General features: G+C 57.3%; 1 protein-coding gene across 33 annotated transcripts in view, besides 4 other annotated features; it reads left to right on the top strand.

Moving 5' to 3' along the window:
* Positions 3973–4042: a silencer, noted in NCBI's record as "silent region_13923". NCBI's record gives its function as "represses an Ori minimal core promoter by ATAC-STARR-seq in GM12878 lymphoblastoid cells {active_cell/tissue: GM12878}" and the evidence as "EXISTENCE:reporter gene assay evidence [ECO:0000049][PMID:35858748]".
* BRD1 (bromodomain containing 1) overlaps positions 4107–11482 on the top strand; it is a 54596-nt gene continuing 47220 nt past the window's right edge. For 16 of the 33 annotated variants that reach the window (XR_007067961.1, XR_007067962.1, XR_007067965.1 and 13 more), the window contains exon 1: positions 7649–9029. Coding sequence is in view for 24 of the 33 variants with exons in the window: in XM_047441277.1 (XP_047297233.1) it covers positions 7663–9029 (1367 nt within the window). In the remaining 9 variants the exon portion in view is untranslated. Of the gene's footprint in view, positions 4484–4722; positions 4743–5394; positions 9030–10993; positions 11147–11482 lie in introns of those variants that run through there. The other 17 variants (NR_146334.2, NM_001394549.1, NM_001394548.1 and 14 more) reach the window with 9 other exon arrangements.
* Positions 4773–4942: a silencer, noted in NCBI's record as "silent region_13922". NCBI's record gives its function as "represses an Ori minimal core promoter by ATAC-STARR-seq in GM12878 lymphoblastoid cells {active_cell/tissue: GM12878}" and the evidence as "EXISTENCE:reporter gene assay evidence [ECO:0000049][PMID:35858748]".
* Positions 5443–5642: an enhancer, noted in NCBI's record as "active region_19281". NCBI's record gives its function as "activates an Ori minimal core promoter by ATAC-STARR-seq in GM12878 lymphoblastoid cells {active_cell/tissue: GM12878}" and the evidence as "EXISTENCE:reporter gene assay evidence [ECO:0000049][PMID:35858748]".
* Positions 6852–7431: an enhancer, noted in NCBI's record as "H3K4me1 hESC enhancer chr22:50218197-50218776 (GRCh37/hg19 assembly coordinates)". NCBI's record gives its function as "activates a minimal SCP1, AML or CMV promoter by ChIP-STARR-seq in naive H9 embryonic stem cells {active_cell/tissue: H9 hESC(naive)}" and the evidence as "EXISTENCE:reporter gene assay evidence [ECO:0000049][PMID:30033119]".

Raw genomic sequence — 11482 nt, 5'->3', positions numbered from 1 at the left:
AGCATGCTTCTCTTAAAATGTGATGATAACACATGTCCCAAGAGGTGGGGTCTGTATTCTCCCTAACTCTTGAATCTGGACAGGCTTGTCCCTATGGCAGAAGTGATGCGTGTGACTTCAGAAGCTAGGATGTGAAAAGTGATACAGGTCCCACCTGCTTCTCTTGAGACCCTTGCTCCTGCAGCATGGCTACTATTCCATGAGGATGTTCCCAAGGCCCTCAGCCCAGAGCCTGGATCAAGGTCCCAGCCACGTGAGTGCACCATCTTGGAAGTGGCTCCTCCAGCCCCTAGTGGAGGTGCCCCAGATAAGGATGCAGGAAGTAGTCTAGTTGTACCTGCTGAATCCTGCCCAAATAGCAGATGTGTGAACAAAAGGAATGACTGCTGTTTTGAGCTACAAAGTTTTGGGGGTGGTTTGTTTTGCAGCAAGAGGTAACTGATAAACATGTCCACTTTCACTGGGTAACGCCTTATGACCAAGATATTTACCAAATAATTGTCCCACTCGACATTCTGGCCAGCAGGGTATTGCTCTGCCATCTTGCCATCGCTGAGTATTGCCACATATGAACGCTGGTGCCTATTTGGTGTGTATTTTGTTTGCATTTCCAAATTTACTAGTAAGATGATTGGCCTTTCCATGTTCTCTGCAAGAAGCCTGATTATGACATGGGTTTCTTTGTTGATTTGGGTTTTGTGCATCATTTTGTTGGCTTGTTTGTCTCTTTCTAATGGATCTGAAGGGGTTCTCTATATATTCTAAATACTAATCATCTGCAAGGTGTACATATCTTTTAGTTTTTCATTCTTCAGTCTCTTTATGGTGCCTTTTGAGGAACAAACATATGATAATTTCCATCCTTTCATTTACGAAATGGAGTCTTGCTCTGTCACTCAGGCTGGAGTGCAGTGGGGCAATCTTGCCTCACTGCAACCTCAGCCTCCTGGGTTCAAGTGATTCTCCTGCCTCAGCCTCCTGAGTAGCTGGGATTACAGGCACGTGCCCCCATGCCTGGCTAATTTTTCTATTTTTAGTAGAGATGGGGTTTCACTATGTTGGTCAGGTCTTGAACTCCTGACCTCAGGTGATGCACCTGCCTCGGTCTCCCAAAGTGTTGGGATTACAGGCATGAGCCACTGTGCCTGGCCCCATCGTTTTATTTTTCATCTGTTATTTTTCAGGTGAATTTCTTGTAAGAATATTTCACCATATTTATATTCCATTCAGAGAGGTTGTCTTTTAATAGATGCATTTAATCCAATCACATTCCTCTGATTACTCAAATGTTTGAACTTAGTTCTGCCAACTCATATTATGTTCTGTATTTATCATGATTTTATCTTTTACTCATTCCTGTTTTTTTTTTGTTGTTGCTGCTGTCGTTTTTCATTTCGCTTTTTCCTCAGCTGTTCTGAAAGTGGTAAATTCTTTTTCCACCATTCTTGTGGAAACTTTCTGATAGTTAAAACTTTTTTTTTTTGTTTTTTTGAGATGGAGTTTTGCTCTTGTTGCCCAGGCTGGAGTGCAATGGCACCATCTCAGCTCACTGTAACCTCCACCTCCCAGTTTCAACCAATTCTCCTGCCTCAGCCTCCCAAGTAGTGGGATTACAGGCATGCGCCGCCACGCCCGGCTAATTTTTTTTTTTTTGTATTTTTAGTAGAGATGGGGTTTCTCCATGTTGATCAGGCTGGTCTTGAACTCCCGACCTCAGGTAGTCTGCCCGCCTCGGCCTCCCAAAGTGCTGGGATTACAGGTGTGAGCCACCATGCCCAGCTAAAATTTTTAACCTTTTTTTCTATCGATTCTAAAATCCTCGAACCAAACAATACAAGAGCTTTCGTGCACTTTCACTTCCTTCTGCGCCCCGCCTTACCATGTGTCATGTTGAGTTCATCCGGGATTTCTCTCAGGTTGATTTTCTTTTAACGGACCAGACTGATTTACTTGCTGGCATCCACGTCTTACTCTTGGGTCCACTTTTCACTTTGTTAAGGTATTTCTTCTAGTACTTTTACAGACTGCGTGTGTGGTAAATGTGGATGTTAACCGGCGGTGAAGACACCTTTATTTTGCTGTCTCACTGGAACGCTAGTTTCACTGTGTATGAGTTACGGTTCAATTCTCTTAGTATTTTGGCAACCCCTCCTCTGTAGGATGAGTCTGAATTCTAAAGAAGATCCTCTCCGAAGGCCTTCCTGAGTATCCCTGTGACATGCCTACGTTCGAGGCTTTGTTCTTCACTCCTCTGAGCATCACCTGCATTGTCTGAGAGGCCACTGTCCCCGTCTCCTCTTCTGTGAAGGGTTTCGTGTCTTTTCATCTTCTCTTTCATGAGACTGTGTCTTACTTTTGCTCTGTGTTGTGGAGAACCTCCAGCTTGGTTTCCATCTGGCTTCCCTGAGGTGGAGGAGAGAAGCGTTCGGGCTCAGCTTGCTTGTTTGGCCACAGGTAAACAGACATCTGTAGAATGGAGGTGACACGAAGCTCCTGGGTCTGGTGCAGAAGAGGTCAGGGCCCCAGTGGCCTGTACCCCCTAAGCTCAAGGGTGTGTCTGCAGGGAGTCCTAGATCAGGACTGACCACTGGGGCCTTGGCTGGGGTCCTACCTGCCCTTGAGTCGTCACGTCACAACCCACACACTGGGTGCCATGGGCATGAGGACTGGCCAGGAAAAGGCCTGTGGGGCCTGGCCCCTATCAGGGACACTTGGGCGAACAAGGCCACCCCACTCCCAATAAGGTGTTTGGTGCAGTGCCCCGAGCAGTGGGGCCGCTCGGCTGCCCCCGTGGGGACGGTCTGTCCCAGGGTGGACAGCTGCTCTTCCTGAGGGGCCTGCCTGGATGCCACAGGCTGTGCTGCTGGAACCCAGGGATTCCACAGCACCATCGTCCTGATCACAAATTCTCAAGGAAACCAAGGAGCTCCTGCCTCACCTTAAAACATTTGGGATTTAATCTTGGAGTGAAAATTGTTATGACCCCACTGAATTTTAGAGTTTACACAAAAGGCCAAAGTGAAGGCAGAGACTCAGGCCTCTCAACTCCCACCCGCAGGGGCCTTTTCTTGCAACCTTAAAGGGCATCTGCTTCACGCCGGCCTCGGCAGGGCCCTCACACTGGCAGGACTACTTGCACACCGGGCCTGACACTCACTAGGGGAGGCTCCCCAGCCCGGCTGCACCACCCACCTCTACCTAGTCGCGTGTCCCGGCCAGTGCCCTTTCCACTCCCACCCAGTGCCCCCGCAGGGCCCCCTCTGTCCTCTTAGGGACCTCCACTCCCGGACCAATAGCCTCCTGCCTCAGGGCCCCCCACTCATGGGCCAATCGCCCCCTGCCTCAGGCCTCCCCCCACTCGTGGGCCAATCGCCCCCTGCCTCAGGCCCCCACCAACTCGTGGGCCAATCGCCCCCTGCCTCAGGGCCCCCCATTCCTGGGCCAATGGCCTTCTGCCTCAGGGACTCCCACTCTCAGCTGGTCCCCCCCGCCTCAGGGACCCCCACTCCTGGCCGTTCCCCCGTCAGGGCCCCCGACTGGCGGCTGCTCCCCCATCCTGCCTCGGGGCCCCCCACTCCCGGGCCAATGTCCTTCTGCCTCAGGTACCCCCACTCCCGGCCCGTCCCCCCGCCTGTGGGCCCCCCACTCCAGGCCGGTGGTAGCCCCTGCCTCAGAGCCGCCCACTCCTGGGCCATCTCCTGCCTCAGCGACCCCACTCCTGGGCCAATGCCCTTCTGCCTCAGGGACCCCCACTCCCAGCCGGTACCCCCCTGCTTCAAAGCCCCCGACTCCCGGCTGCTCCCCACCTGCCTCGGGGCCCCCCACTCCTAGGCCTACGTCCCCCTGCCTCAGGGCCCCTCATTCTCCATCCTCCTGACCCCCTCAGGGACCTTCTGGCCCGGTCCTCCCTAACTCAAGGGCCCCCACTCTCCATCCTCCCGACCCCCCACTCCCAGCCCGGTCCCCGCCGCCTCAGGGCCCCCTTTGGCCCCCGCTCCTCGCGGCGCCCCCTCCCCCGCGCGCGGCCGAGGCAGCGGAGTCCGCGCGTCATGGCGGCGGCGGGCGGGGCGCGTCTCGCACGCAGCGCGCCGGGCGGAGCGCTCGCCGCATTGTTTGCTTCGCTGGGGAGCGAGCGAGCGACCCGGCCCTGGAGTCCGAGCCAGCCCCGCGTCCCGCGCCCGCCGCCCGCCGCCCGCTCCCGCGCCCGCGCCCGCGCCCGCCGGCCGGGCCCCCCGAGCCGGGCCTCCAGCTGGGCCCCGAGCCCGAGCCCGCGCCGCGCGAGCCGCTGCCCGAGAGTCCGCGGCCGCCGCTGCCGGGCCCGGAGCCGCCGCGGCCGAGAGGGGCCCGCGCCCAGGAGCGGCGGCGGGGCCCGGCCTGCGCGGCCGTTGGCGGAGGAGCCGCGGGCGCCATTAGCACCGCCTCGGCCGCGCCGGCCCCCGCGCCCGCCCGCTTGCCGGGCTCCCGCGGCCGCGGCGCCCCGAAGGTGAGTGGGCGGGGGCCTGGCCGGGGAGGCCTCCCCGCCGCCTCGCGGGCCGCCCGGCCGCCGCCGCCGCCTCGGCCCGGCCTCTCGGGGTTGTGGTGCCGACGCCATGTTTGGCGGCGGCGGCGGCGGCGGCGGCTCCGCATTGTCTGCGGGCCGGGAGCCCGGGATGCCGGGGAGGCCGGGCGGGGAGACCGGGGAGGTCGGGCCGGGCGGCCGGGGAGACGGGCGGGAAGACGGGGAGGCCGGGCGGGGAGACCGGGTAGGTCAGGCCGGGGAGTCGAGGGAGGCCGAGTCGGGCTGTGGGTCTCGGCGGCCTGGGCCGCGGGCGCCTGCCCGGAGTCCGCGCTCGAGTCGGGTCGGGCCTCGGGCAGCCGCCGAGCCGGCCGGGCCGCCCCTTATGTAACAGACAGGCCCGCCGAGCTCTGCCAAGACGGGAACTCCCTGTGAGCAGGGACGCGCCCCGAGATCGCCCAGGAGCCGCGCGGCCTGCGGCGGCCGGGCTTGGGAACCGGCACCGCGGCCTCCCCGGGCGTTTGCAGGGAGACGCCTCGCGACGAACGCGAGGCTTCCCCGGGCCTTTTAAAACGAGTGACACGATTGAGGCGCAGTTCACGGGAAACGCGGCTCTTGTGAGCGGACGCGGGAGTTCTGAGAATCCGTAGCAGCGGGACCCCCTGCCCCGCGGGGTGCGGCCCCGTCTCCCCAGAAAGCGCGGCCGCCCGTGTCTGTTTTTGAGGGTCTGTCGCCAGGTGGTTGTGTAGTTAGTGGAATCGGCGGATGTTTTTGTTTGGCCGGCCCAGCGCCGTCCCGAGTGCTGTGTGCTGCACACAACTTCGCACAGCTCAGCGGCCGCGGCCCCTGTGGCCTTGACCGAGAGGCCCGGCGCGTGGCCGGCTTCTCCCTGGGCGGGCGGTGGGAAGATGGAAGCGGCCGTCTTGTGGGCAGCCTTCCCCGCCTGTGGCCCGCAGGGCTCTTCGATGTACTTAAGGGAATTATTCCTTGAGAAGCTACGTGTGTGCCCCCGCGGATCCCTCCCAGTGGAAATGCTTGTCCCAGTGGAAGGGCCAGGGACAGAACCGGCCCAGGGGGGAAGCGGTGAAGCAGAGGAGGTCGTGGGTCGCCCTGCCCTGCTGAGGGCCTACTTTCCCCGGGTCCCAGTTGCATGTTGAGGGTATGGAGCTGCTGTGGCCGTGAAGCCTTCGGTTCAGTTCTCCCCTTGTAGAAAGTGTTGCGATGAAGAGCTTCACGGCTCCCTGGGAGAGAGTGGGTTTCCAGGGGCTGCTTGTCGTTAGGGCGACTCAGGACTTTGCTGTCGAGGGGAAAATGACAGGTTCGTTTCTGATCTGGTGAGTAACCAACTGTTGCTTCTGCCCCACCTCAGTAATGACGCGTGTCGGCGTCCCGGGTGCACTAGGGTCGCTCTCTGCAGGCTGTGGTGTCACCTCTGCAGGGCTCACGGGGCCGGCTGGGGGGTGGCTGTGCTGACAGCTCCCCAGGAATCCAGGGTTGAGTGGGTACCTGGAGGCCCTGGAGATGCAGGGGGTCTGAGGTTTGGCCGACCACATTTTCTCTCCTATTCCTTTCTGTAGGTAATTGCAATCTAGTTTCAACATACAATGAGGATTTCTGTCTGATACAGAGAAAGATACCCAGTGTCTGGAGGGTCTGTCTTAAGAAGTGCTCTTGAAGTCTGCTGGGATTTCCTTTCGGGACTCACAGAGGGAAGCCTGCTCCCTGAGGGCTTTTTCTCAGGCCCAATAGATCAGGGTAAGGCTGCTGTGGGTGCCCCTGATCCCCCTGGGCCCCGAGGCCAGGCGTCCCTGACGTGGCAGGGCTAGATGCAGAGTATGCCTTGGGCTTCAGCTGAGAATATTTGTTTTGCGAGTCAGTCACTGAAAAATCATTTTGCTTCCTGTCAGTGAAGTGTGGCGCTTTGGAGGGAGGCACTGCCCAGCAGGCGGTGGTCTTCACAGGAGGTGTCCACACACCAGGCACCCTGGGGACAGCTAGGAATAGACGCAGTCCGTGGTGTTGGGACAGCAGAGGCCTCTGCCACGAGGAGCTGGAGGTATGGGAGGCAGCTCACTGGTTTTGCCTACCTCTGGAAAAGCAGATTCTCCTAAGCCTCTGTGGCCAAGTCTTCAGGCACCTGAGCCAGCGCTGGCGACCCTCCTGGTGAGGGTCTCTGCAAGCAGCGAGGGGTTCCTGGGGGTCACCCCTCGCTGTGGAGCCTGAGTGGAGCGTCTGCCTTCACGTGTGCCGGGGAGAACAGAGATTCCCTTTGGCGTCATGCATGTGTCTGGATTCTCTCAGAAAGGAGGAGGACGTGGAAGGAGGAGGACGTGGCCAGCACCATGGTCTCAGTGGGGCTTGAGGAGTGCCCCTGAGGGGAAGGGGCAGGTTGGCTCAGCCTGTGGTGGTTTCCATGGTGGTCACTGCCAAGGCTCTGCAGAAGCGGGGTTGGGGCCTCCCAGGGGCCAAGACTGTCCCCTCAGACCAGTACAGGGCTCCCCTGTTGGTCCCCTGTGCCGTGTTGTGCGTGTGGAGGGCCTGTCTATAGAGGATGGACAGGCTGTGATCTGTCTCCTACCCCTGGCCCCAGCAGGAATGCTGCAAGGACTGTGGTGACTCTGGGCTCATGGGAGTGCTCTCCTGGGAGTAGTGGGGAGGGGAAGAGTGGTTTAGGGGGAGCATCCGATAGGACCAGGTAGCCACTGAGCATGCCTGTCTGGTGGGCATAGCCTCTGTGCCTGGTGGGGTCCAGCCCTGTATGTGGACTTCCTGGGGGACCGCCTGCATGCTGGGAAAGTCCTGCAACTGTGGGCTCTGGGCCGGACCCCTCCTCCTTGGGGAGCGTTGCTGTGGTCTCCGCAGCCTGTTGGTGTGGTCTGAGAGGGGACTGGTGTGTGGTGGTAGGGACGCAGGTGCTCAGGAGGGCTCCTCAGGCTGCCTCTCTGCCTGTTACTGCTGCTCCCTCCCTGGTCCTGGGGACTCGCTCAGGCCTGGATGTGTGGTTTTGGACACCTTGGAAAGAGGTTAGCTGTGAGTTTTGCTTTGATTGGGCTTTGAGCTGCTGAGCTAGATCTGTCCAAGCATGCTTTTGTGGTTTTCTCGAGTCTTTGGTCACCCTGCGTAGAATTACCTTTACTTTTGCCTTCATTTTAGGTAATCATTACCAAATGAGGAGGAAAGGACGATGTCATCGAGGCTCTGCAGCGAGGCATCCTTCTTCCCCATGCAGTGTTAAACACTCCCCTACGCGAGAAACGCTGACCTACGCTCAAGCTCAAAGGATGGTAGAGATAGAAATTGAAGGGCGCTTGCACAGGATCAGTATTTTTGATCCCCTGGAGATCATATTGGAAGATGACCTCACTGCTCAAGAGATGAGTGAGTGCAACAGCAACAAGGAAAACAGCGAGCGGCCTCCTGTCTGCTTAAGAACTAAGCGTCACAAAAACAACAGAGTCAAAAAGAAAAACGAGGCCCTCCCCAGCGCCCACGGCACGCCGGCCTCGGCCAGTGCCCTCCCGGAGCCCAAGGTGCGCATCGTGGAGTACAGCCCTCCGTCCGCCCCCAGGAGGCCTCCTGTGTACTACAAGTTCATCGAGAAGTCGGCCGAGGAACTGGACAACGAGGTGGAGTATGACATGGACGAGGAGGACTATGCCTGGCTGGAGATCGTCAATGAGAAGCGCAAGGGCGACTGCGTCCCCGCCGTGTCGCAGAGCATGTTTGAGTTCCTGATGGACCGCTTCGAGAAGGAGTCGCACTGCGAGAACCAGAAGCAGGGCGAGCAGCAGTCTCTGATCGACGAGGACGCCGTGTGCTGCATCTGCATGGACGGGGAGTGTCAGAACAGCAACGTGATCCTCTTCTGCGACATGTGCAACCTGGCCGTGCACCAGGAGTGCTACGGGGTGCCCTACATCCCCGAGGGCCAGTGGCTCTGCCGCCACTGCCTGCAGTCGCGGGCCCGGCCCGCCGACTGTGTGCTGTGCCCCAACAAGGGTGGTGCCTTCAAAAAGACAGATGACGACCGCTGGGGTCACGTGGTGTGTGCCCTGTGGATCCCAGAGGTCGGCTTTGCCAACACGGTGTTCATCGAGCCCATCGATGGGGTGAGGAACATCCCTCCAGCCCGGTGGAAACTGACATGCTACCTCTGTAAGCAGAAGGGCGTGGGTGCCTGCATCCAGTGCCACAAAGCAAACTGCTACACAGCATTCCATGTGACGTGTGCCCAGAAGGCTGGCCTGTACATGAAAATGGAGCCCGTGAAGGAACTGACTGGCGGTGGCACCACCTTCTCCGTCAGAAAGACCGCTTACTGTGATGTCCACACGCCTCCAGGCTGCACCCGGAGGCCTCTGAATATTTACGGGGATGTCGAAATGAAAAATGGCGTCTGTCGAAAAGAGAGCTCGGTTAAAACGGTCAGGTCCACATCCAAGGTCAGGAAGAAGGCAAAAAAGGCTAAGAAAGCTCTGGCTGAGCCCTGCGCGGTCCTGCCGACCGTGTGCGCTCCTTATATTCCCCCGCAGAGGTAAGCGTGTCCAAGCATTGAGTCCACAAGGAGCCTGCAGTGTGGGACCCTGGGAGGACGTGGGCACAGCCTGCAGGGCCCGTGCTGTGTGGTCATTGCGTTTCTAGTTGGCGCAGCTTCCTAATATTCCCCTGAAGTGTGGTTCTGCTTGTTTACCACGTCTTTTTGGGGAATAGATGTTGTAAAAGATTTTAGTCTGTAGGCTTGGAATAATCTGTAGTTTTCTATGTTTTTTTTTTTGGAGACGGAGTTTTACTCTGTCGCCCAGGCTGGAGTATAGTGGCGCAATCTCAGCTCACTGCAACCCCCGCCTCCTGGGTTCAAGCAATTCTCCTGCCTCAGACTCCTGAGTAGCTGGGACTGCAGGCGTGCGCCACCATGCCCGACAAATTTTTGTATTTTTTAAGTAGAGACGGGGTTTCACCATGTTGGCTAGGCTGGTCTCAAACGCCTGACCTCAAGTGATCTGCCCGCCTTGGCTTCCCAAAGTGCTGGAATTACAGCACTTGCTCAGCCTTTTTTTTTTTTAAATAGGGTTTTGCTCTGTTGCCCAGGCTGGAGTGTAGTGGCACGATTTCAGCTCTCTGCAACCTCTGCTGCCAGGTTCCAGCAATTCTTGTGTCTCAGCCTCCTGAGTAGCTGGGACTACAGGCGTGTGCTCCCATGCCCAGCTAATTTTGTATTTTTAGTAGAGGCGGGGTTTCACCATGTTGCCCAGGGTGGTCTGGAACTCCTGAGCTCAGGCAGTCTGCCTGCCTCTGCATCCCAAAGTGCTAGGACTATAGGCGTGAGCCACCATGCCCAGCCGTGCGTGAAGATTTTTAAGAATTTCAGTGACTAAACTTTAAGAAGGAATGAAGCCCACGCAGGAACTCTGTATGACTTTCAACCCGAGGGGCTCTGGCCTGGGCTTCCCAGTGACTGCCGGCATCGGGACATCCACTGCTGTGGCCTTGGCCCCGTTTCCCGTGCTGTGCCCCCCACTTGCTGCAGATGCCCTGAGGAAAGGGTGGCCAAACAAGGGGAGGAGCTGTGAGCACAGATGGGGCCTGCCGGTCAACAGGGCGGGTAGAGCCAGCCTGGTGCTGAGCTTGCAGCTTGGCTGGGGGAGACGCCTAGAGCCCCAGTACCACACAGACCCTCCAGGACTGCCGGGGGTCAGTGAGCAGGACCCTCTGAGGTGTCAGACCTGCCCCACATGTGAGGGGAGGACAGCACAGGTGGGACGCATGCAGGCTGAGCTGCATCGGGCGGTGAGGCTGGGAGGTTGCAGTGAGCTAAGATTGTGCTACTGTACCGCAGCCTGCGTGACAGAGTGAAACTGTGTCTCAAAAAAAAAAAAAGAAGTTTTAAGTGATTTTTGTTAATATTACTCTACTTTACCAAAGTGAAGTCCAGTTTCTTTTCACAGAGCTGTAAATACTCAGATAATTAGTCAATTCAGACAGAATGAACAAAAAATGCTCATAATCCTTCCCATCCAGGGAAAACCCTGTCAAAACCAAGGTGTTTGTCTTTGTAAATTAATCTGACTTTGAAGAGATGGTTTTGCTTGGATTTCTACCTATGAGTCAAAAAGTCTAGGGTTTGTATTAAGAGCTTCTGTATAAGAGGTCTAAAAATTTCAGCTTTACTGAAATTGAAGCAAAATAAACAAAATGTGATCTAACAAAATGAAGAGCCAAAAGTCTGAAGTGCTCCCTTCCCTGGCCAGTACCAGATGATGACCTGCTCTGGGAGAGGCCGGGCCTGGCCGGGCCGCACGCTCTCTGTTCTTTGGCTCCTGATGTTGGGTAGGCAGGACTGAAGGAGGCAGTGTTTGCATGCAGGACATGGGGGCTGAAGTGGCCAGGGCTGATTGAGAAGAAAACTCGACCTAAATATTTGAAAGCATGTATTGGAGCTAAACCGCGTACTGTGTGGTTCTGTTCTTTTCCTAACTTGGGAATAAACTATTATTTCAGCTTCGAGTAGAGAGAGAGAAACAAACCTGGACGAGTGTTCCTGGCCGCGGTCTCTGCAGTCTGGGTTTCCCAGTCTCCAGGAGATGCTGGTGCTTCAGGCCACCTTGCCACCAGTGGAGGAGCTCCCAGTGCGCCTGGCCTGTTGGCACCATGGTGCTGGACCCACCTCTGGGGTGGTTGTGAGGGGCAGGCTCTCAATACAGTACTGACTGCTGCCTGAAACCGGGTTTACTGCCTTGCTGTGGTCTGAGAGGCAGCTGATCTGGCAGCCCTGTTCTTAGGCCCTGGGCACTACCCCTGGGTGCATGTAGGAGGCCTCAGCTGTGCATTTGAATTCTGTGTAGATGAGGGTGAAGCTTCTTATTTTTTATTTTATGTTTAGAGACAGGGTCTTGTTCTGTTGCCCACGTTGGAGTGCAGTGGCGTGATCATGGCTTACAGTAGCCTCAAACTCTTGGACTCAAGCGATCTTCCCGCCTCAGCCTCCTC

The sequence above is a fragment of the Homo sapiens genome, chromosome 22 (assembly GCF_000001405.40).
Source record: "Homo sapiens chromosome 22, GRCh38.p14 Primary Assembly".
NCBI classification, from domain to species: domain Eukaryota; kingdom Metazoa; phylum Chordata; class Mammalia; order Primates; family Hominidae; genus Homo; species Homo sapiens.
This window is presented reverse-complemented; position numbering and strand designations above follow the sequence as displayed.